This window comes from Homo sapiens, chromosome 4 (genome assembly GCF_000001405.40).
Source record: "Homo sapiens chromosome 4, GRCh38.p14 Primary Assembly".
Classification (NCBI taxonomy): domain Eukaryota; kingdom Metazoa; phylum Chordata; class Mammalia; order Primates; family Hominidae; genus Homo; species Homo sapiens.
This window is the reverse complement of record NC_000004.12, coordinates 96,306,620-96,331,250: the sequence shown is the minus strand read 5'-3', so window position 1 is coordinate 96,331,250 and position 24,631 is coordinate 96,306,620. Positions and strand designations below refer to the sequence as shown.

Here is a 24,631-nt window from a genome sequence, read left to right as displayed (position 1 = left end):
CAGTTTGATGCCCATACAGTGGGTTTGTTATAGATGGGTCTTATTGTTTTGAGTTATGTCCCTTCAATGCCTAGTTTATTGAATGTTTTCCACATGAAAAGACATTGAGTTTTATCAAAGACTTTTCTGCATCTATCAAGATGATTTTTTTTTGCTTTAATTCTCTTAATATTACGAATCACATTTATTGTTTTGTACATGCTGATGCAAACTCTCATCCCAAAAGCTGACTTGATTATTGTGGATTAGATTTTTCATGTGCTGCTGAATTCCATTTGCTAGTATTTTGTTGAGAATTTTTGCATCTGTGTTCATCAGGGATATTGGCCTGAAGTTTTCTTTTTGGTCAAGTGTCAAATATCGTTCCAGAATACATTTCTTTGTTTACTGCCTCTACGATATATCTAATACTGTCAATAAGGTGTTGTAGACTCCCACTATGATTGTATGGTTATCTAAGTCTCTTCATGGATCTCTAATAGCTTGTTTTATGAATCTGGGTGCTCCAATGTTGGGTGCATATATATTTAGAATAGTTATGTCTTCTTGCTGTATTGAACACTTTATCAATATGTATTGACCTTCTTTGTGCTGTTTGATTATTGTCAGTTTAAAGTCTGTTTTGACTGAAATAAGAACAACAACCCCTGATCTTTTTCATTTTCCATTTGCTCGATTGATTTTTCTCCATCCCTTTACTTTGAGCCTATGTGTTATTGCATGTGAGATTAATGTCTTGAAGACAGCAGAAGGATAGGTCTTGCTTCTTTATTCAACTTACTACTCTACACCTTTTAAGTGAGGCATTTAGCCATATACATTCATTCGTAGTATTGATATGTGCAGATTTGATCTTGGCATTGTGTCATTAGTTGGTTATTATGTTCACTTGACTGTGTAGTTGCTTTATAGTGTCAATGGTCTATGTACTTAAGTATGTTTATGTGGTGACAGTAAGTCTCAGTCTTTTGTTTCCATGTTTAGCACTCCATTAAGGGATTCTTTTAATGCCAATCTCATGGTAATAAATTCCTTTAGTATTTGCTTTCGGAAAATAATTGTATTTCTCCTTCACTTATTAAGCTTAGTTCGGCTTGGTATGAAATTCTTGCTTGGAATTTCTTTTCTTTATGAATGCTGGATTTAGGCCTTCAATCTCATGTGGCTTGTAAGATTTCTGCTGAAGGGTCTGCTGTTAGTCTGATGAGGTTGCTTTTGTAGGTGACCTACCCCTTCTGTCTAGCTGCCTTTAACATTTTTTCTTTCACTTTGACCTTGAAGAATCTTATGACTCTGTGTCTTGGGGACTGTCATCTTTTATAGCACCTCACCAGGGTTCTTTGCATTTTCTGAATTTGAATATTGACCTCTCTGACAAGGTTGGGGAAATGTTGGTGGACCATATTCTCAAGTATGTTTTCCACGTGGCTTGCTCTCTCTTCTTCTCTTTCAAGGATGCCAATAAGTCATAGGTTTGATCTCTTTACATAGTACCATATTTCTTGGAGGTTTTGTTCCTTTTTTATTCTTTTTTCTTTACTTTTGTCTGACTGAGTTGATTTGAATAACTTGTCTTCAAGCTTTGAGATTCTTTCCTCATCTTAATCTATTCTCCCATTAATTCTTCTGGTTGTCTTTTGAAATACTTGTAGTGAGTTTTTCAGCTCTATCAGAACAGCTTGGTACTTTCTTAAAATGGCCGTTTTGTCATTCAACACTTGTATCTTCTTACTGAATTCTTTAGTTTTCTTGGATTGGGTTTTACCTTTCTCCTGAATCTCAATGATCTCTGTTGTCACCAAGATTCTGAATTCTATGTCTGTCATTACAGCCATTCCAGTCTGGTTAAGAACCACTGATGCAGAGCTAGCATAGTCATTTGGAGGTAAGAAGAAATGAACTTTTTGAGTTGCCAGAATTCCTGTGTTAGCAGTATATAGTTTCTATTATGCCTATTAAAACATTATTTATTATACCTATATATCTGATTCATGTTATTTACCTCCTAGAAAATTCTTTACCATATACCACCCCTAATTGTAGGGAAGATACATCTAATGTTCATTTTTCATTTTTTATAAGGCTCCTCAGTTGTAAACTGTCAAAACTTAAATAATGTTTCAATTTTTTAGGCAATACATTATAGTGGCTTAGGATTCAGTAAGGTAATGATTTCAGATTACAGTGATTTAGTCATTTATACATAGAAACATATATTGGATTATTAAGTATTTTCTGTGACTATTTATTATATCACTATTTTAAAGGAATATTAAGAAGCCATTGATTCACGTGCCTCCTTAAAGATTGTTCATTATATTTTCATCCATTCATTCAACACTTATCAAGAACCAACAACGTAGTACCATAAATACTATGACACATACAAATCAGTATCTATCTTTTCTTTTTTCTTTTTTTTTTTTTTTTTTTTTGAGGTGGAGTCTCGCTCTGTTGCCCAGGTTGGAGTGCAGTGGCACTATCTTGGCTCATTGCAAGCTCCGCATCATAGGTTCCCGCCATTCTCCTGCCTCAGCCACCCAAGGAGCTGGGACTGCAGGCGTCCGCCACCACGCCCAGCTAATTTTTTTGTATTTTTAGTAGAGACAGGGTTTCACCATGTTAGCCAGGATGGTCTTGATCTCCTGACCTCGTGATCCGCCCGCCTCAGCCTCCCAAAGTGCTGGGATTACAGGCATGAGCCACCACGCACGGCCGAATCAGTATCTATCTTTAAAAAGCTTACAATTTAGTATGAGAAACATGAATTGTGACAACTGCTTGGGTAGTTATATGCATAATACTAAAATACTTAATATTAAAGAAATATATTTTATTTGGATTGGGAGAGGTAAGGGTCAGAGAGTCAGGTTTCATTTAAACATTAGTGGTAAAGCATATAGATGAAAAAATAGATTTAATGCACTGATCTGTTTTTAATTATGTCCTCCTTACTGTTAGTAAAAAATTTTTAAAAAGTTAATAAAAAATTAAACACTTTCCAATCTTCTTCAATTGTTTCTAACCACATTTTGCAGACACTGGCATGTTGACAGGTAAAAAAGTCACAAAGTAAGGCATGGGGATTATCTTCTGATTTCATTATGTATCAAAAATATTTATTACAATCACTCATAAGAGAAATGTCTGGAAAAGGAGAAGAGAATTACTCAAGTACATGTGAGACTACTTATCAACAAAAAGTACTAGCAGTGGAAATTTTCAGATTATCACATTGTTGATCTTTATTCCTTTGGATTACTTTGATAGAAAAAAAATACTATGAGATCACAAAAACTATTTATATAAGGTAACTTCAATATACCAGTGATATGCTGAATCTTCAAGAGGCCATTCCAATATTCTATCAGGCCTCCTGTTTCAGGTATCTGGAGAATACAGAAAGATCAGTTAATTCTTTGAACATGGGTCCATTACTTCACTTTATTTGTTCTAAAGGGAGTTCTTGGATCAGAAGTAATGCTATGTGAAATAGCATGATGGTATATAAGATATTCTGTAAATGCATGGATGGGAGTTTGGCAAAAACATTGGGAAAGCAAATCCATATCCAGTGTGTCTATACAAGTCAGTACAAAGCACTGACTGCCATGATAGAAATGGTTAATACATCAATCAGCCAATCAACCTGCCACCAGGTAGCAGGCTGATCACCCCAGGGAGTAGTGCCATACTGAGGATTCAGCATTCATCTCTGCTGCTCCCAGATTGGGCATTCAGCAGTGGCTGTATCAAGGCCATCCTTGGTGAAAGTCCATGTTGCTAAGCCTATGCATAAACTCCACATCTTCCTCCAGGGACATTTTTTGTAATGAGTCAATAAGGTAATAACAGGATTAGGAGTAGCTAGGGAAATACAGTCATTCTATTTACTTGATTATTAACATTATTATTAAGTTACATTATTAACATTTTCCTCTATGGGGGTCACCTTCTGATGAATATTTACATAATATACAAATATATCACATTCTTTGCCCATTTAGAGAGATTTATCTATATATTCACTTTCCCAACTTCTGCATTACCTATTTTCCAATCATATTCCTTTCCATGTCCATGAACACCCAGCCAAACCATTGGCTAACTAGTGTCTACAGACCATGAATCAATAGACACTCAGAACTCTGGAATTTCTGCTTCAAGGGAAAACAAAACACAAAGTACACTGCTCTAAATTCTGCCCTCTGGGATAATTTTTCTTCACCATTGTACTTTAAGGATGTCCCATAAAGGTGCTAAATGCTGTGGTTTTTGGATGGTGACTACCTATTGTGCTAAGCCATCTGAAAACCAGGCCAGAGTTTTCTCAACATCGGTTGACTGATGAACAGTCAACTGTTCAAAGAGTGCTTCTCATCAAGCCATAGGTGTGGGGAGAGAGAGAGAAAGTAACGTAGCAAGAGTAAGGGCATTTGCCAACTTCTTCATTTAACTTATGCCTTCAGGGCCTGCTTAAACTGAGATATTTCTGTATCTCTCTCTCTATCTATCTATCTATCTATCTATCTATCTATCTATCTATCTATCTATCTATATTAGATTAGAGAGAGAGAGAGAGAGATAATCTAACCCACCAAGCCATATATCTATATATGATGGATTGCTCGTGTCGCTTTTCCAGTTGGTGGCCTGTGGATAACTGTTTAGTCTCTACTAATGCTCAGTAGCAAGCCAAAAGCTGTTTCTCAAAAGGAAAGTAGTTATTCATAGAGTATAGAATGACTGTGCTCCAAAATACTAAGGGTCTGCACTGTGATTCATAAACACTCCAAACAACATCCCTATCTGCCACTGACACTCTAAACACCATTGGATCTGATCATTGTATGGCCTAAGTGGCCCATCAGTTTGCATGGCAGCCTGTGTCTTTTGTAGAGCCTTCTCTTGTTCTGGACTTCACTCAAAACTAGCAGCTCTTTTTGGTTACTCACTGAAGGGACCAGAATATCATACCCAAAGGAGGAACATGTCACCTATAAAATCCAAAGAAAACTGCTAAGCTTTGTGCCTCTGTTTTGGTTGCCAGAGGGGCCAGGTGCAACAACTTATCCTTCATCTCAAAAGGAACAGATCAACATATTCTACCTCACTGGGTCCCTAGAAAGTTAACAGAGGTTGAAAGGCCATGACTTTTGTAGAATTATTTCCCATCCTTTAATACACAAGTGTTTTACCAATATGTCTTGAATATTTGCTACATTTTGTTTGCTAGGTCTGATTAGCATATCATCAATATAATAGACCAAGATAATATTTGGTGGGAAGGAAAGGTGATCAAGGTGCCTGTGGACTAAATAATAACATAGGGATAGAGAGCTGAAATACCCCTGAAGTAGGACAGTGAAATTGTCCTGCTGAAAGCAGGCTGCTTCTGGTGGTCTTCACTTACAGGTGTCAAGCAAAAAAACATTTGTCAGCACAGAGATACCAGGGGATGTGTTAATTTGCTCAACTGATGAAAGCACAACTTGGAATAGAAACTTGAACTGGAATCGCCACATAATTAAGTTTAAGATAATACACTGTCATTCTCTAAGAACCCTCTGTTTTCTGCAGATACCAAATCAGTAAGTTGAATAGGAATATGGTGGGAATCACTACCCATTCATCCATCAAGTTTATTACAGTGGCACTAATGTTTGCAATCCCTCCATGAATGTGCTATTGCTTTGGGTTTACTATTTTTACAAGAAAAGTTAGTTCAAGTAACTTCTGCTTGGGGTTCCCACCATAATAACCCTCACTCCACAGGTCAGAACAACAATGTGGGTATTCTACAGTTGCTGAACATGTCTTTTCCAATTATGCATTCTGGAAATGGGGAAATTACCACAGTAAGGGGTCAGGGACATGCTGAGTCCACTGTGAGATGAACTTTGGCTAAAACTCCATTGATCATCTGACCTCTGTTAAGTCCTTACTCCAACTGATAGACCATAGTGACATTTTGTGTCTTCTGGAACTAGTGCCAGTTCAAGGTCAATGTCAAGTAATTCCTGAAAAGTATGATACTTTCCTTTCTCTCAATGTACAGTAACCCTGCTAAATGGCCATAACTCACTTTGGGGGCAGGCTAAGATAAACAGTACAATTTTGGCTGTGTAGCAGGGTCTTTCCTCAAGGAAAGCATGAAGAATCCTTGAATGAAGAACCCTACATTCAAGGGGTTCTTATCTATAAACTGGCATAAGTCTGGGAATTGATCGAGAGGCAGAGACTCTGTTCTGGTGATTCAAGTTAGACGTCTGTTCACTCAACTAAAAACTCTTCTGCTTACATGAATCAAGTAAGGATTTAGTTGACCGTCAAACTATTTATTACCTTTCTAAGGACTCCGTGATCAACTAGCCAAGGCTATAGGTTTCTGGATTGCTTTGGCTCTGCTCTCTGCTAGGGTAACTACAACTACCCGTTCTTGGGCAACCAAGTATCAACACTTAGCCCCTTCCACTCCAGAATCCCATTTTCCCCTTTGCATTTAGGGTTGCCAGTTTGATGGTAGCATTTTACACTTGAATTTATGATTGGCATAGAAGAGTAATCCAGGATTCTGGGCCTTCCCTCAAAAATTTATTTCTCCCATTTGCAGTGAAAGGTGTGTTCTATGAACCCTCCTAGTGTAGATGAACATTTCTTGACATGATTAATCTACACTAACATTCCAATCTCTCTAAGCCCTCTGGATATCCTACTCTATAGTATTCCAAATCATTTCTGACATTTCAGCTTCTTTTAGTAGAGCTCTCTTTGGGTCCATATTTTAGCCAATAAGCCAAAAAATTGTTATAGCCATTCCCAATACCTTGAGTAAAAACACTGTCCAGAATCTCTGCTTAGTGGGCCTTTATTAATCAATTAGGCCTAATCTAACTTTATGTTCTTTCCCTCACTATCCACACCCTTATGATCTATACCCATACATGTTCTTCAGATTTCTGCCTGTATAAATTCAGAATAATCATGCCGTTCTTTTAGTGTGTGGAACATCTATTCATGGGTTACACTTTGTACCGTACCCTTTGGAGCCTACTAAAACCTAGTCTAATTATGATTCTAGAACGAAGAGGGGAGACTGGAGTAGCACTTGTCTAGAATCAACAGTGGCTTGCAAGGCGATTAACTCAGAAAGGTAATATGGTTTAGCTGTGCCCCTGCCAAATCTCAACTTGAATTGTATCTCCCAGGATTCCCACGTGTTGTGGGAGGGACTCAGGGGGAGGTAATTGAATCATGGGGGCAAGTCTTTCCCATACTATTCTCATGATAGTGAATGAGGAATGAGTCTCACAAGGTCTGATGGGTTTATCAGGGGTTTCCGCTTTTGCTTCTTCTTCATTTTCTCTTGCCACTGCCACATAAGAAATGCCTTTCTGTCACCCAGGCTGGAGTGCGGTGGCATGATCTTGGCTCACTGCATCCTCCGCCCCTTGGGTTCAAGTGATTCTCCTGCCTCAACCTCCTGAGTTGCTGGGATTACAGGTGCACACCACCACACCCAGCTAAATTTTCTATTTTTAGTAGAGACGGGGTTTCACCATGTTAGTCAGGCTGGTCTCAAACTCCTGACCTCGTGATCTGCCCACCTTGACCTCCCAAAGTGTTGGGAATACAGACATGAGCCACCGTGCCCGAGAATATCCCTACTTTAACAGAAGACACCCTGGGAGGTAAGGAATTCAATTTGCTTTGTAATCCCACCCTTCAAGAGACAGTCTTGAGTTTGGTTTTCTAAAATCTCAGTCCTATGATTACAAAACATAAAGGTTTCTTTCAAGGAAAATATAGAAGCTTTCAGGTCATTCAAACTCAGCTTGAGATGGGAATTTGACATCATGAGCGCATCCTTATCTCCCCCTACTTTTTCCAGTGCTATGAGGACCAGCCATCTCATATCATTATACTCTTCAACTTGACTACTATAAAGTATCAACTATTAATACATTGTCACCCAGTGACTTCTCTTCTATATGTATTTGATTGGGGGTATGCAAAGGTAATATTTCTATTGCCACATCATGTCATGGATGACCAGTGCCCTCTTTACCACTGAAAATAGAGGCATTAGTACCTTTAGATCTAATCAGATTAGAGTAGCAATTCAATAAAACCCAGAACCTATTCAGAAAACATAATCCGTAATATTCCTTAATCCTTAATTTATTAATATTCATAACCTCTGTTGAATCCTGACTAATATAAATGCTGGTACCAGAAGTAGGAAACAGCACATATATATATATTTTTTTTAACAGAGAAACAGAACCAGTTGTATGTATACAATATAATATATTGAATATATTATACATAAATAATATATATTAATAACATATAATATATTCAATATGTTATATGTTGAATATATGATATATATTCAACAAAAATATATTATGTTGAATATATATGATATAATATTATGTTGAATATTCTGATATATATATAACATGACCAGTTTTATATATATACCTATATCTATTATTTATAATAAATAATTATACATAAACAGAAACTGGTTCTGTTTCTGTGTTGAACATATATTATTTTGGCTTATACAATTGTGGGGTATTGCAAAGCCATTCTAAAATATCTAAGGCTGGTTGTTGGAGAGGGCAGGCTAGAACTATTGGTCACGAGTGGAAGCTGATCTCCATAGGCAGACTTTTTTCTTCTTCAAGGAAGCCTACATCTATTTCCAAGGCCTTTCAACTGATTGACTTTGGTAAAGTCCCTTACTTAGTCATTGATTATGGATTATAGTCACATTTCCAAAATACCTTCACAGTAAGGATTAGATAAGTGTTTATTGAGAAACTGTTTACCCTAATATAACACATAAACTGATCATCATAATAGGGATCAAGTTTATTATTTCAAATACTGGTAAATCTAGAAAAATAATAAAGCATAAATCTTGCTATTTCCTTAATAACTATATCACTGGGTATCCAAATAATAAATGAGGGAAATGTATAACAGAATCTAGAAGTTTGTTGTTCCCAGCTCTATGGTGTCTGTCCGTATATCACCGTATGAATTATTGAGATCCAATTTGAAAAAGTATATCATCTAACAAATGATCAAGAAATGATAGAAGATAATATCACCATGCAGTCACCCCAGTGAGTTAATGGATCTAGGCATTGAGCATAAATAAAAACGAGAGAAAACTAGACATTGTCTGTAGTTGAAAAAAAACATACCACCATTTATAACCTTTCCAGAGGTTTGGACATGAGTCTCATCAGGCCTCTATACCCAGCTGCCAATTTGCTTAAAATACAGAGAGAGGAAAAAGGAAAATTTTAAACCATACTATGCATACAGAATCCAGACTGTATAAAATTTTTCATATCAAATAGTCTAAGTTTATCAACAGATGAATTATAAAAAACTAAAAAATGGATGGGGGTCTGTATGCTAAAAATAATCATAAAAGCTATATCAATCTTTTTAAAGAACATATTGTTTAAATACACACACTTGGGTGATACTCTGAAAAAATAGCTGTTTACATGGTAGATTATTTTTTATAATTAAATGCTTCAGAATATCAACTACAACATTCTACATTTTCATGACTCTCTTAAGGAACCAGATTTTCTCTTGTTTGGTGCATAAGATCCATGTAAATTAGAATTTTTGCTACATGGATTCTTGATACTAGGAGGAAACACCAGCATGTAAGTTATTATCAGGAGATCTCATAATTTTTATATCTATCTCTTGGTACGTTTAACATCATTTCTTTTCTTTTTTCTTCTAATTAGCAGAACCATTCATCTTTGTGGAACTTGCTCTTTTGTCTTCAAATACAACTGAAACTAGTACTCCCCATTCACAGTCTTGTGCCCATTTTGCAGGCTTGGCAAGTCAAGGTGTATAAACCCATGGCTACAGTAACTGATACAGAAAAGAGAAAGAGATTCACTTGCTCAACAAATACTTGTGACAAAATTAGACCAATCAGAGTTCTTCCAAGGGCATTTTTCCACTAAAATAGAATGCCATTTTCCCACTGGCATTGATAGGCTATTAGGATGTGAGTTGGGTTCTGCCAGTAGCCTTTTCACCAAGCATGTGGACAGAGAGTTTAAGCACGAGAGAAACATAGCCTTGACATTATTAATTTCATGAATTCAGCAGTGCCTAAACTATGGACGATAGACTTCCCAGTTATAGAAGCCAGAAAATTTTGTTTGGTATTATTACTTGTATCTAAAAGATTTTCAGTAACATATTTAAGTATATTTGCAGATTTCTAGGACATTAAACAATATGGAAACTATGGATATCATAAGCTAAGACTACCTCATTGCTAAAGACTGTAAGGCATGAATTTTATGCAATGTGAGAGAATAGAATTGGAAGAAGATTTGAGAACATATCTTCATATGAAAGCACAGATGCATTTTAAAAATGTGTTTTATTTGGTCAGAAATGTGTCTAGTAAGATGTTTACAGTCAATAAAATTTCTTCAAATTCTACAAGTTGAATTAAGCTTTGTATAATCCCCATTACTCTGTGGCCCTAGCCATAGATAGTTTGATTTCTATGTGCCTGATAGACAACTAGATGAAAGCATCTTACTGGTAGCTGGAAATGTAGAATTCAGGCCAAGGAATAAGTTTAAAGAAAGGAAAAAGTGAGTTCATTTTGAGGAGAAAATTGCATGTAATTATTTATCCAAAGATTGTATTGCAGTGCCTGGAAAAAAGTGAGAACTACACTAATAATACAAGGGTGATTATGAGGCAATCAGCAGAAAGTCATTTGTGATTAGGAATTCAGAACCATTAAATTTATATCTTAAAATTACTTCAAATTTTATCTGTTATATGCGTCTGTACTTTTGCTTACATAGTAACTATTTTAAAGTTAATATGTATAAGGCCATAATCACTAGGATATATGAATATATGTGTGCATGCATATTTACATTTTTTACAAAGATTAGAATGCTGGTAGTTTATTTGAAGGTAGTTATTATTTCCTAAGCAAGTTAGTTTCTCTGACATTTAATATCCTTTTATATAAAATTAATAAGTTGAATCATGTCATGCAAGTTAGACATATCTAAGCATGCAAAAGAATGCCAAAGCTTGTATTTTAACTATGAAACAGCATGTGCATACTTGGAGAAATACTCTAAGCAAAAATCATCATTGCCTCTTGTGAACACTGTTTGAGTGAAGGAAATAATTCATTGAACAAGAAAAGCAATTGTATTTTGAAAAAATACATATAAATAATAAAAATATACTACATGGTTTATTTCACCACAAAGGACAGAAGATGCAAGTACAAAGCCTGGAAAATATATTTTGTGTATAGTATTTTTATACATTAAAAAAACAGGCACAGTGTCTCGTTCCTGTAATCCCAGCACTTGGAAGGCTGAGGTGGGTGGATTGCTGGAGACTAGAATTTCGAGACCAGCCTTGGCAACATGGAGAAACACTGTCTCTACAAAAAACACAAAAATTAGTAGAGAATGGTGGTGTTTGCCTGTAATTCCAGCTACTTGGGAGCCTGAGACAGGAGGATCAATGGAGCCAGGGGAGATTGAGGCTTCAATGAGCTGTGATTGTGCCACTCCACTGGGTGGAGAGTGGGTAACAGAGTAGGACCCTGTCTCAAAACAAAACAAAACAAAAAAGGAAAGAAAAGAAAGAAACCAATAAAGTCCCTAAGCCATTTCCTCTAACTAAAAAACATCATTTATCAAGAACTTGCTATAGGTTAGGATTTTTTTTTTTTTTTAGACAGAGTCTCACTCTTGCCCAGGCTGGAGTGCAATGGCAAAATCGGCTCGCTGCAACCTCCACCTCCCAGATTGAAGCGATTTTCCTGCCTCAGCCTCCAGAGTAGCTGGGATTATAGGCACTTGCCACCACGCCCAGCTAATTTTTGTTCTTTTTAGTAGAGATGGGGTTTCACCAGGTTGGCCAGGCTGGTCTCTAACCCCTGACCTCAGGTGATCCACCCACCTCGGCCTCCCAAAGTGCTGGGATTACAGGCAAGGCGTGAGGGCCGTGCCCAGCCGGCAAGGATTTTTAAACACCATGTTTTTAACAACAATCTGACTTGTTGGGTAGTAGAGTAGAAAAATGGGGCACTAAAAGATCAGTGTACTTCTCCAGGATCAAATAACTTCGAGGGGATTGGATCAATTCAGAACCAGATATGTTTGTTTCAGAGTCCTACAAACTTCCATTATGTCAAATTTTCTCATTAAGGTAATAGCAATCTTAATAATATAATGCTGATAGTAACAACAGTACTAACAATTTAAGTAGTACCAGATACTGTCTAAAATGCTTTATATATGTTGTGCCATTTATTTTTTATAGCATTCTTATAAGGAATGCGGTACTAATCGTACCATTTAGCAGATGAGCACGCTGAAGGAACTTACTCCAAATCATACAGTGACAGGACCTGTTCACTGCCTGTCTAAATAAATTATATTAGCTCTCAGATAGCAAAGAAAATAAAATCAACCATTTCTGTGTTTAGTGGAATCCATCAGAAAATATTCATTGAAGCTTCGAATTTGTCTTTTCTTATTTAGCTTAAAAATTACTTATCAAATACAGTTTTTGTTATGAATATTGTATTGGGATGCTATATATGTAAATATATCTAAAATTTTATTTTAAAAACCTTTATAAAGAAGACATCTCAAATTTGCTAAGTGGTTAAAAAAAGGTAAAATATTTTTAAAGTTTATGCTAAAACTAACCCCTTTAGCTTATTTTATTTATGAGAGCTTTTTCATGAGCATTATCTCACCAAGGCAATGCGTTCAGAATTTTAAATTTTGCATTGTAAATTACAGGATTTGATTTTAAAAGGAAAACAAAAACATTTACACATTTAAAAAAATATTACTTTGTTAAATCTATAGTACTTTTAGCATATCGGAATAGCTATAATTCATAAGAAAGGTGAAAAATAAATATTGATAAGGCACTTAGTAATATATAAAACTATGATAGTTCCAGAAGGGCTGCTTTGCAAGCACTCTAATACATGGAAAATTTCCAAGAAGTGTTCTGAAGTCTAATAATTATCATCCCAGATGCCGGATTGTGTCTGCGTGGGACGAGCTGAATGTGCTGTCACATCCGACAGAGTTGCCAATCTTAAACCAACTGTGACTACTCTCTGTACATTTCTCTCTCCGGGGCATTAAAAAAATCTTAATTAGCTTTTGTTTCCAAGCAGGGCGTCATTTTTCATGATGTTACTTTCATTTTTTTAGGATTATTACAATCAAATTGACCTTGACATTTCATCTACTACAATAAGTGTATATATTTATGCAATATCTAAATTCAAGTTATTAACAAGATAAAATCAGAGGTTTATTAAAAATACAAATGTCCCTTTAATATTGAAGCATGAGTTTGTTACATGCAATTTGGAATCATGTTTATATATTACACATTTATCAAAAAAGCTAACCTACTATTGGAGACTTGTTGATGACTTAAAAATGTTAATAATACAAATAGAAGAAAAGGTGTATATGATGTTATGAACCTATATTGATGATATAATCCATGCATAAATGCATATTTCCAGAATGGCAAAAAATACTTAAATAAAGTATATGTTCTAATTAGTTTAGAAAAACTTTAGAAAAGCTATAGTATAATATATTCTAAAGTTCTTTGAGTTCCCAAGAGGGAAAACATATACTAGTATAACATATTCAGATATTGTTCAGAGCCTGGTATTTTTGAGTAATTTAACCTAAATGCATTTTCATTATAAAGTGCAACTCATTTGAAATTTGTCACACAACTAACTTCAATTTGGGTATGTATCTTCACTTAGAGTTCAAGATCAGGTAAAATACCTCACAGCAAATGAAAGGAGAGGACCAATTGTCATTTACCTTTATAGATATTAATAGTGCGTTTAACAAGTAACAATATGCATCCTGCATTTAGCGAAGATGCTGCTTACTAATGACATCTCATTGCTTCACACAGCAGGGACACTCATTCTATTTGGGCATAACGACTGAGCTAACATCAGTTTTTAAGAATGTATATTATCATCATTCATTAGAGTACTACACTGAAGCTTCTCTGGGAGGCAATAAAGAACAAAATGTGTATTTTTAAAGACCATCATTTTCCCCCTAAATGCTTGAATTAAGCTGCAGTCTTTGGTGTTCAGAGAGTTGAGTTATGTCCTAAAGCAATGCTTCTTTTAGAGTACATCATGCCTGCAGATTGGGCTCTGATTAGCCTCTGAGTTTTCTAATACAGTCTATTGATTTTCTGCTACTGTGGCTGCCATTGGATTTTGTGTGCTGGCACACGGGTTCTGTCTTTTGCATAAGAGAATGATGAATGGTTGTCTGTGAGGCTCCAAGCACATACTTATTTCCTCTTCAATAAGGACACCCGTCAATATCATTTAAGTAAAGAAAAACACTGAGACAACCCGGCATGCCTACGAAACAATTTGGATTTTCTTCATATTCATTGTTAATTCTAACTAAACTATGCACATTCTCCAGAAAATTGGAAAGTGTATTCAGTAGTCTTAAATTCCTTTACCTTTAAGGTAGGGAAAAAATAAACTTTGTTTCTAAAGGTAAAAAATGCATTTATGTGAAATTATACTAGGAAAGAAATTTCATTTTTTTATTAGCCACAATACTGATTTAAAATGCAGACTAGCACTAAGTAATAAACCAGTATGCTGAACTCATTTTAAAAATTCTCACTTTAAATGAGTGCACAAATTATAATCCTGTGGAACTTCCTTACCTTTACACTACAAAAAGTTAATTTCTATGCTGACACTGATTTTTTTTTCCAGTAAAGATACCAGATTGTCTTAGATCAGGTTCACTACAAGCAGAGTCTCAGAAATGCATTTTTGTGCAAGTGATGTATTGAAGTGGTTTGGGATGACACCTGTAAAAAGTGAGGGAAGAAAAATAGGTCAGGGGGAAGCTAAGCACAGGTGGAGATGCAGGTAAAGTATGGCCTCAGCCTCATATTCCAGAGAATACAGGAGTGGAAATGGTACCACTCAACTTGCTTCCCATCTGGAAGCAAGGGACCAGTCTTTTTCTCACGGTTGGCAGTAAGTCATTAAGGCTGCCTGCAAGGTGGAAGAGAAGCACTGTTTCCCCAATATTTCTGTGCTGGACAGTTCCTATCAGCCAAGGGCAATACTTAGGGGAAAGGACAGCTGTGGGCTGCCAGCAGCCAGCACTTAGCAGCTGAGGAATGGGTGGATCAATTCTCAGGGGAATCTGGGAAAGGCAGCAACGGTGCTTGCTCTGCAGGTCAAATTCAGAGCCAACATTCTGGTCTGGCTTGTTCCCACATAGAGGCAAAAGATTGAACATAGCATCCATTCAGTTTAAAGTGAGGACTTGCAGAATTGACGTAGAGTCTGCTTACCAAAGTAAGGAGCCATTTGAAATTGTGGTTTAGCATGTAAACTGACCAGCAAAAGCAAGAATTTGTTTTTCACAATTTGTAGATAAAAAAATCACAGGGTATTTTGCATTAATTGAATCCACATTTTTATACCTGTTTCAATGGTTTTGGTAATTTGAATATTCAGTACGCTGCAAATATGAAATAATATAATTGCTATATTCCTGTTATTATTTTTTACTTTTCTAAAGAACTACCATAAAATATATTGCAGTTCTGTTTAATTGCTCTACAGGAAACGAGAATACAAAATAATCCACTTCTATTATTCTCAATTTCATTTAGGAGATGAAAAAGTGAATAAAAAAAAGTAATAAGTATGACAGTAACTGAAAGTCACATTTTTTAGAAATTTACAAAATTCTTTATGGAACAATGAGTTTACATCTTTGAAAGTTGGAACTATCATTCTATAATATCACAGTCCTGAAATGGTACATGAATCTGGGTTATCCCACACACAAAATCATCCTCAGAATAAAACTAAATCATATTTTAAGGAAGAGGTAGGGATCTACTTCTAAAACAGTCCAGATACTGTGTTTTGAATGCAGATGTATTTATTTGGAGGTATCATTTTGTTTCATGGATAGCTTTTTTTTTCTGAAAACCTAACCCTATTCATTATTTTCCCCGATAACTAGAATTTTTAGTTTGCTTTTATTTTTGGCTATAAAAATATTTGGTATTTTTCTTTGTTCAACTTCTCAAATTACTAGAGTAAGTCTTTTGCATAAGGTATTTTAAAATGTTATTGATATCAAATACCAGAATACTAAATTGCTGGTTATTTTATATGATAGATTCTGGAATGATTTCAAGTCATAACAGGCTCGTGGATAATCCTATGCTTTTAAATTTTTCTTCAAGCCAATGACTGAAGTATATAAATTAATATCAATCTTGTTTTGGCTTCTTGGTATTAATGCTACACAGGAATCTCTAGTATTGATTACAAGTCATATGAAGTTAGACTGATATGCTTCTTTCCATCTTCTTTCCAAAAATGAATTATGCCAGAAATTCAAGGTTAATGAAGCAAGCTCATTATAATACACCTCTTCTGGGCATTCCTTTCACTTTAGTTAAGTAATTGAAGAAATTAGACAGGTGGAAGCAGACAACGTGATACAGGCATACACATCCTTAGGCTGAGCACATGTGAAATTACATGAGTAGGTTAGGAGAAAAAGTTCCTGTTATGGTCATATCAGCCTACCCAATGCAATAGTCCTTACAACCTAAAACGAATCTTACAGTAACACCAAGAATTTGTTAATCCAAAATTCAATTTCAATTCCTAATTGAAATAGAAATATCAATGTCTGCTGAATGGACTATCAAATCTTGCAAACTTAAATATGGTAGGGCATCAACTAGTCAAGCTTACTCCTTGTCAGTTAGTAGAACCATATTGTCAGGATAGCATACTGTGTTTTGTGAATTCTTAAAGGATCAATGCAAACTTCATAGAAAAGTAATGTTCATTCGTTGCTACTTAAGATACACTGTCCTTGTGTAACTTGGAAATAATTTAGCAATATTAAGTTAAAAAGGATTATACATACTCTGTTGTATATCATAGAACATAGACTGAGATCACTTAATATAACAGCTGGGCAATCTTGGTCAAGTGACTTAAACTCAATCTGCCTTAGATGCCTCATATTTAATATAAACAGCACACTCCACTTGGAGATAATAGATGTTAAACTCTTAGTACATAAAGAAGTGTACCTGGCACATTTCTATTAATACCTAGCAACTCCATTTTTAGTAATAATCCTAAAAAGTAATTAAGGATGTATACAAATGTTTTGCCATAAGAATTTTTAATGTAATATTATTTGTGATAGTGGAAAATATATGAATAATCTTCAAGTCATAACACTGAGGTTTGAAAGATTAAGTTATTAGGATGGAACTTTACACTGACATGGAAAATACTATCATGAAAATGCTTTAATGTATTAACATTATATCACTGAGATAAATTAAAATAGCATATGAAGTATTACTTTAATTTTATTAAAATTAAAAATGTATGCATACAGATACATTAAACAATTCTGCTAAGTGTAAACACAAAGTTAAGGTGGATTCTCAGAATGGAGATGTATGGGTAATCTTATCTTTTCATTTTAGCATATTAATTTTCTGGATGTTTTAAAAGAAATTACAATTTCTTTTTAGGAAAAGAGTAAATTACTTTAAATTTCCAAAAAATCTCTCAAAAATTATATAAAAGTCTCTAACCTACTAAGTGATCTTATAGAGTTCCATGTCTACATAATACTAGTACCTTTTAAAATATATAAATGATGTATACCCAGTAACATTTGTGCTGCTTCTATATGAGGAAAATGCTTTCCACAGAAAGTCTTCTGCTTTCAAATGTAATACTGTAAAACTTTGCAGGAGATATTATCCCCATTATTAACCTAAGATAATAGTGATAAATTATTAACTGACTATACTTAGGTCTTGAGGCAATAAAAATACCACTCTTGCATTACATTCAGCAATCTAGAAAAACAGACACCTGAAAAAGCCTTTAGCTGAGGCTAATAGAAATGGTTCCTATCATGTAGCCTAAAATGTTCGTAATAATGGCCTTTTCTTGGCAGAATGAGCAATGATCTTCAAGAGTACTTCAACTATTTTTTAACTTATAGATACATATCTTCAATGATCAACTCATGAATTTTTCATGCACTTTGTGCAATACCATAAAAGAATATTGTTTTACAAGAAATAGTTTTATTGCCCATAGAAAAATTTTGTGATGTGTCCTAGAAGTAGGAATTCAAGCACACATTCATAATATTACTAGAATAAATTGAAAAGGCAATTAATACTGAATGCAGTCAAAAGTGGACTTGGCATTAGTTGTTTATAGAGAAGAAAACTTGAAACATGGCTACAAGTTAATGGCAGGGAATATTATTAAAAGAAATGATTTCATACTGGAAAACAGAAATAAAAAAGAAATCCATCTATAAGAAATGTAATGAAGGTTACCAGAATGCTGTATCAGAAAGGGCACTGGTTGACACAATTAGCCCTTATATAATATAAAGCAAGGCTTATAATAATCTCAGCTTCATCTATTATTTCATTCATTCATTCATTTACTTATTTATAGTAGATTATTTTCAGATTAAAAAAACAGCTCAAAGTTGGCTAGAACCAAAGAACTTATGTCACCAGGAGTTGCTACTAACTCTTCAGCATACAGATCTGGGAAGCAAATAAAGAGCACTAATGCTGTAGTTTCCTTAAAAATGAAATTGGATAAAGCCCAAAAAAGGAACAGGGGAAAGTGAAACCAAGATTCCAATGCCTACTGATTGATTTAAAGGGAAATTTGTTCTGTCGAAAATGCAAATGTCAGGTAATTTCTTGAAGTTTAAAATGTTTTACTGTTCTTAGTTTCCTCCATCCCAAACTGTGACTATGTTTGTCTAGCTGACAAATGCACACAGTACATTCAGACGCCAAATACCTGGAAGCACATGTCAGGCGTGATTATCACCAGCCTATGCTACATGCCAATTTATTCCACAGGGGCTCTGGGATTATGTGCGTATTGTTAGCCTGCAGTGCCAACAAATCATGTGTAGCACACAAATAAAAATGAAGCCCTCCCCAGCACACATTTCAATATAAGACTTTGTTTTCAGTTGATATACCTTGTATTTTAGAAATAGGTTTATATTTATCTAACAAAAAATTTAAAAAATAAGAAGCATGTATCTGATAATATAGCATTCTGGGACTAATTCCCAGAAATTACATTATAAAACTGAAAATCTGTTTAAAAACTGTATTTTCCAGACAGTCAAATGGGCAAAAATATCAGCTTGTTAATCATTCACTCAATAAATTTCAGAACAGGAACATCACTAACCATCTTTTAATGATTATCATCTAATATTTTAGTACCTACTTACTGCCCTTCTACTGAAACATGTGCCTTCCTTCACGCAAGTACACACACCTGGAAGAACCCTTTTTTGCATTAAGTGATTCTTTTAATGAATAAATCATGAACTTTTTATTCTTCATGAAGTTTTTCTTCAATTGAATAATATCATGAATGTTTTCCTATTACCACTTACTTTGGTTTTCAAATCTCATATTTCACATTTTGCTAAACTTGCATATTATGTAAATATAATGGGTTTCACTTTATGGATTTACATTTGTGATAGGTAAACCCCTAAGTTATCAAAATATTTATAAATACTCATTTATTAAAATTTATATTTTAATTTGTAGGGTCTGAAATAAAGATTGTTGACATGGAAATAAAATAGTAGATTTTTCTGAAATATTTACAACAAACTTTACTCAATTTACTTGAACATCAAGAAATTTAACAAATAAGTGCTAAACTTAAAAGTATCAGAGAAAGCAAAGAGAAAGGAATCAAACCATCAATTAGCAATCCCTCTGTCATCTTATTATTATTGATCTTTTATTCTATCAAGTTAAATTTCTATCCTCACATTTCATGTAGCTATAAGTATTTAACATCTATTAGCATCACCTTCTTTATCTGTTAAATGGATTATGTAATAGGGTTGCTAGAATACTAAATTAGACAGGCTATGTGAAACAGCAAGTATATTGTAGACTTTAATTAACGCTGATCAGCATTTTTTTATATTTCCTCTTCTTTATATCAGCCCTATATCCCGTATCCCCCTCCCTGAAACATATGACCCTACATGCAATTTTATAAAGTTTATGTATTTGTTTAAAGTGTAGATTTGTGGACTTTTCTGCAGATTCATTTTCCTGGGTATTAGTCAGTGGTGCTACTGATGAATATACAGCCATACTACATTTAAAAATCATATTTTAAAATATTTATTTTTTAATTTATGTAATTCCAATTTATTTTGAAATATATAATTCACGTGTGTGTGTGTGTGCGCATGCACGCCCCTGCTTACCTTGTGACTAGCTGCAAACAACCAGATGAGCTTTGTCTGAATGTAAACAACTCCAAATGCATCTCTCTCCATGGCTTGAGCGTTCTTAGCACCTGTGGGAAATGACACATTCAGCAGATAATAGACAAAGTTTTTACTTTGTATCTAGTGGCGTTAAATGTATCTGTAAGTGAAATTGAGCTATCAAAACTATGGTACAACTATAAAAGGCAACCCATATTTTCAAAACTACAATAATGTCCTCTTTCTTTAGACAAAAGTCAATATGTAAATAATGTCGTATCGTCAATTAAAAGAAAAAACAATAATTATATAATTTCAATTCTTTTCCAATGTCATATTTTCTCCCAAGATAAGTACAACAGGCATATAAAAATATGGTCATAATTATTACCTTTCTGACTCTGGAGAATTTACTTAAACTCCTCAGGGTCCCGGTTTCCTATTCTGCAGTTTGTAATAACACAATAGCATGTTTGGTTTTATGATTATTAAATGAAATAATGTTTTAGTACTTAGAAGATTGTCAATATGTAATAAATATTAAGTGTCAGTAAGGGGAAAATATAAAAATAACATGAATAAAATAACCTAGTATCATCAAGTTTAATAATATAATGTAGCTATATGATTATTATAAAGTCACTAAAATGTTGTTTAGAAAATGGCTGCTAAAATTTCCATCTGTTTGTCTATTTTTTATTTTCTTAAATATTGAAACTGTAGCCAGAAATTGGAAGAAGCAGTTTTGTTTGATTATAGGCTATGGCTGTGGCTACAAATATATATATATACACATATATATATACATATATATAACTGCTTGACTTCTTATTGGGAATGACAAAAATTTACCTGCTGAGATCCTAAGGAAAGTATTGTGCTCCTTGATCATAAGATATATCCTGTTCTGAGTGCACATGAAGGAGCCTGGTTTTCTCTTTTGTTGGAAACTCAGGCACTTGGTTTGGGGTTTGCAGCAAAACACTTTGGATAAAAGGGTGTGCTACATAGTAAAATAAAAGTTATAACACTTGCTCTTTACCAAGACTTTCCTATGTGTCCATCTGCCTTCTTGAATATTTCAGCCAATTTAATGTTTATGAGTTCTGTTATAATTTCCTATTTTACAAGTGAGAAAACTAAGGTAAATTAGCGTGGTAAAGGGTAAACTCATTAAGAGACTGTATTAGACTGTTCTCAGGCTGCTGATAAAGACATACTCGAGATTGGGCAATTTACAAAAGAAAGAGGTTAATAGACTTAGAGTTCCACATGGCTGGGGAGGCCTCACAATCATGGCAGAAGGCAGGGAGGAAGAAGTCACGTCTCACATGGATGGCAGCAGGCAAAGAGAGAGAAAGCTCACGCAGGGAAACTCCTCTTTATTAAACCATCAGATCTCATGAGACTTATTCACTATCAAGTGAACGGAATGGGAAATACATCCCCCCTGACTCAGTTATCTCCCACTGGGTCCCTTCCACAACACATGAGAATTCAAGATCAGATTTGGGTGGAGATACAGCCAAACCATATTATTCCACCTCTGGCCCCTCCCAGGTCTCACATCCTCACATTTCAAAACCAATCATGACTTCCCAACAATCTCCCGAAGTCTCAACTCATTTCAGCATTTACTCAAAAGTCTACAATCCAAAGCTTCATCGAAGACAAGGCAAGTCCCTTCCATCTATGAGCCTGTAAAATCAGAAGCAAGTTAGTTACTTCCTAGATACAATCAGGTACAGGCATTGGATAAATACAGCTAATCAAAATGGGATAAATTGGCAAAACAAAGGGGCTACAGGCCACATGAAAGTCTGAAATCCAGCAGGGCAGCCAAATCTTAAAGATCGAAAATGATCTCATTTAACTCTGTGCCTCACATCCAGGTCATGCTGATGCAAGAGGTCAGTTCCCATGATCTTGGTCAGCTCTGCCCTTGTGGCTTTTCAGGGTACAGCCTCCCACCTGGATGCTTTCATGGGCTGGCACTGAGTGTCTGCAGCTTCTCCAGGTGCACAGTGCAAGCTTTCAGTGGATCTACCATTCTGGGGTGTGGAGGACAGTGGCCTTCTCACAGATCCACTAGGTGGGGACTCTATGTAGGGGCTCCCACCCAATATTTCCCTTCTGCACTGCCCTAGCAGTGCAGGTTCTCCATGATAGCCTTGTCCCTGCAACAAACTTCTGGTGGGCATCCAGTCATTTCCATGGATTTTCTGAAATCTAGGCAGAGGTTCCTGAACCTCAATTCTTGACTTTGCTGTACCTACAGGTTCAACACCACATGGAAGCTGACAAGGCTTGGGGCTTCCAGCCTCTGAAGCAACAGCTCCAGGTGTAACTTGGCTCTTTTTAGTCATGGCTGGAGCTGCTGGGATGCAGGGCACCAAGTCCCTAGACTGCACACAGCAGAGGGACCCTGGACCTGGCCCACAAAACCATTTTTTCCTCCTAAACCTCTGGGCCTTTGATGGGAGGGGCTACCATAAAGATCTCTGACATGCCTTGGAGACATTTTCTCCACTGTCTTGGTGATTCGGTTTCCCATTACTTATGCAAATTTCTGCAGCTGGCTTGAATTTCTCCTCAGAAAATTGGATTTTCTTTTCTATCACATTGGCAGGCTGCAAATTTTCTAAACTTTTATGCTCTGTTCCCTTTTAAAACTGAATGTCTTTAACAGCAACCAAGTCACCTCTTTAATGCTTTGCTGCTTAGAACTTTCTTCCACCAGATACCCTAAATCATCTCTCTCAAGTTCAAAGTTCCATAAATCTCTAGGGCAGTGGCAAAATGCCACTAGCCTCTTTGCTAAACCATAACAAGAGTCACCTTTGCTACAGTTCCCAAAAAGTTTTTTATCTCCATCTGAGACCACCTCAGGCTGGATTTAATTGTCCATATCACTATCAGCATTTTTGGCAAAGCCATTCAACAAGTCTCTATGAAGTTCCAAACTTGCCCACATTTTTCTATCTTCTTTTGGACCTTGCAAACCATTCCAACCTCTGCCTGTTATCCAGTTTCAAAGTTGCTTCCAAATTTTGGGGTATCTTTTCATCAGCACCCACTCCTGGTACTAGTTTACTGTACTCGTCTGTTCTCATGCTGCTGCTAAAGACATACCTGAGACTCTGCAATTTACAAAAGAAAGAGGTTTAATGGACTTACAGTTCCATATGGCTTGGGAGGCCTCACAATCATGGTGGAAGGCAGGGAAGAGCAAGTCATGTCTTACATGGATGGCAGCAGGCAAAGAGAGAGCAACCTTGTGCAGGGGAACTCTTCTTTATAAAATGATCAGATCCCATGAGACTTATTCACCATCAGGAGAACAGCACAGGAAAGACATCCCCCATGACTCAATTATCTCCCACCAGGTTCTTCCCACAACACATGGGAATTCAAGATAAGATTGGGGTAGGGACACAGCAAAACCATATCAGAGATCAAGTCTAGAATGGGAACAAATCTAGTTAATTCAAAGTCTGTCTCATCCACCACTTCATAGACTACTTTCTCACTCTCTGCTAACTTTAATATCATACTAGTTTTCTATACATCAGATAATAGTCTTATCAATCACAGTAGTTCAGTTATTTTCATATAAACATTATATTCTTCTTTATTCTCTATTCCCCTAATCAACTTTATTTACATATCTAATATGTGTTCTTAATTTGTTTTTTAATTGTGCTTTTTACGTGTGAATTCTTTATGAGGATATTTAGTACCACATGATACATAATCTCTATGAAACAGCTCATTCAAACACATTTGAACAGCTACATGGTAACATTTCTCAAAAACATTTATAGCATGATAAAGATCTGTTAATCCCTAACCTGAGAACACTATTTCATGTTGAATATGTAAGTACTTTCAGCAAGGTTGTTTCAAGGGAAGTGTTTTGTTGTTGTTGTTGTTGTTTTTGGAGATGGAGTCTCACTCTGTCACCCAGGCTGGAGTGCAGAGGCACAATCTCGGCTCACTGCAACCTCCACCTCCCAGGTTCAAGTCATTCTCCTGCCTCAGCCTCCCAAGTAGCTGGGATTACAGGCATGCACCACCACACCCAGCTAATTTTTGTATTTGTAATTAGAAAGTTTCTGTAATAACATATAATAATTATTTTATGATAGCATCCAAAAGCAAAATATTCCAAA

At 35.5% G+C, this 24,631-nt stretch overlaps 1 long non-coding RNA gene across 1 annotated transcript in view; it reads right to left on the bottom strand.

Annotated features, from left to right (window-relative positions):
* LINC02267 (long intergenic non-protein coding RNA 2267) overlaps window positions 1-20,548 on the bottom strand; it is a 507,713-nt gene extending 487,165 nt beyond the window's left edge. The window contains exon 1 of the long non-coding RNA NR_147149.1: window positions 20,457-20,548. This is a non-coding gene — a long non-coding RNA (long intergenic non-protein coding RNA 2267). The remainder of the gene's footprint in view (window positions 1-20,456) is intronic.
* Window positions 20,549-24,631: the final 4,083 nt, after the last annotated feature.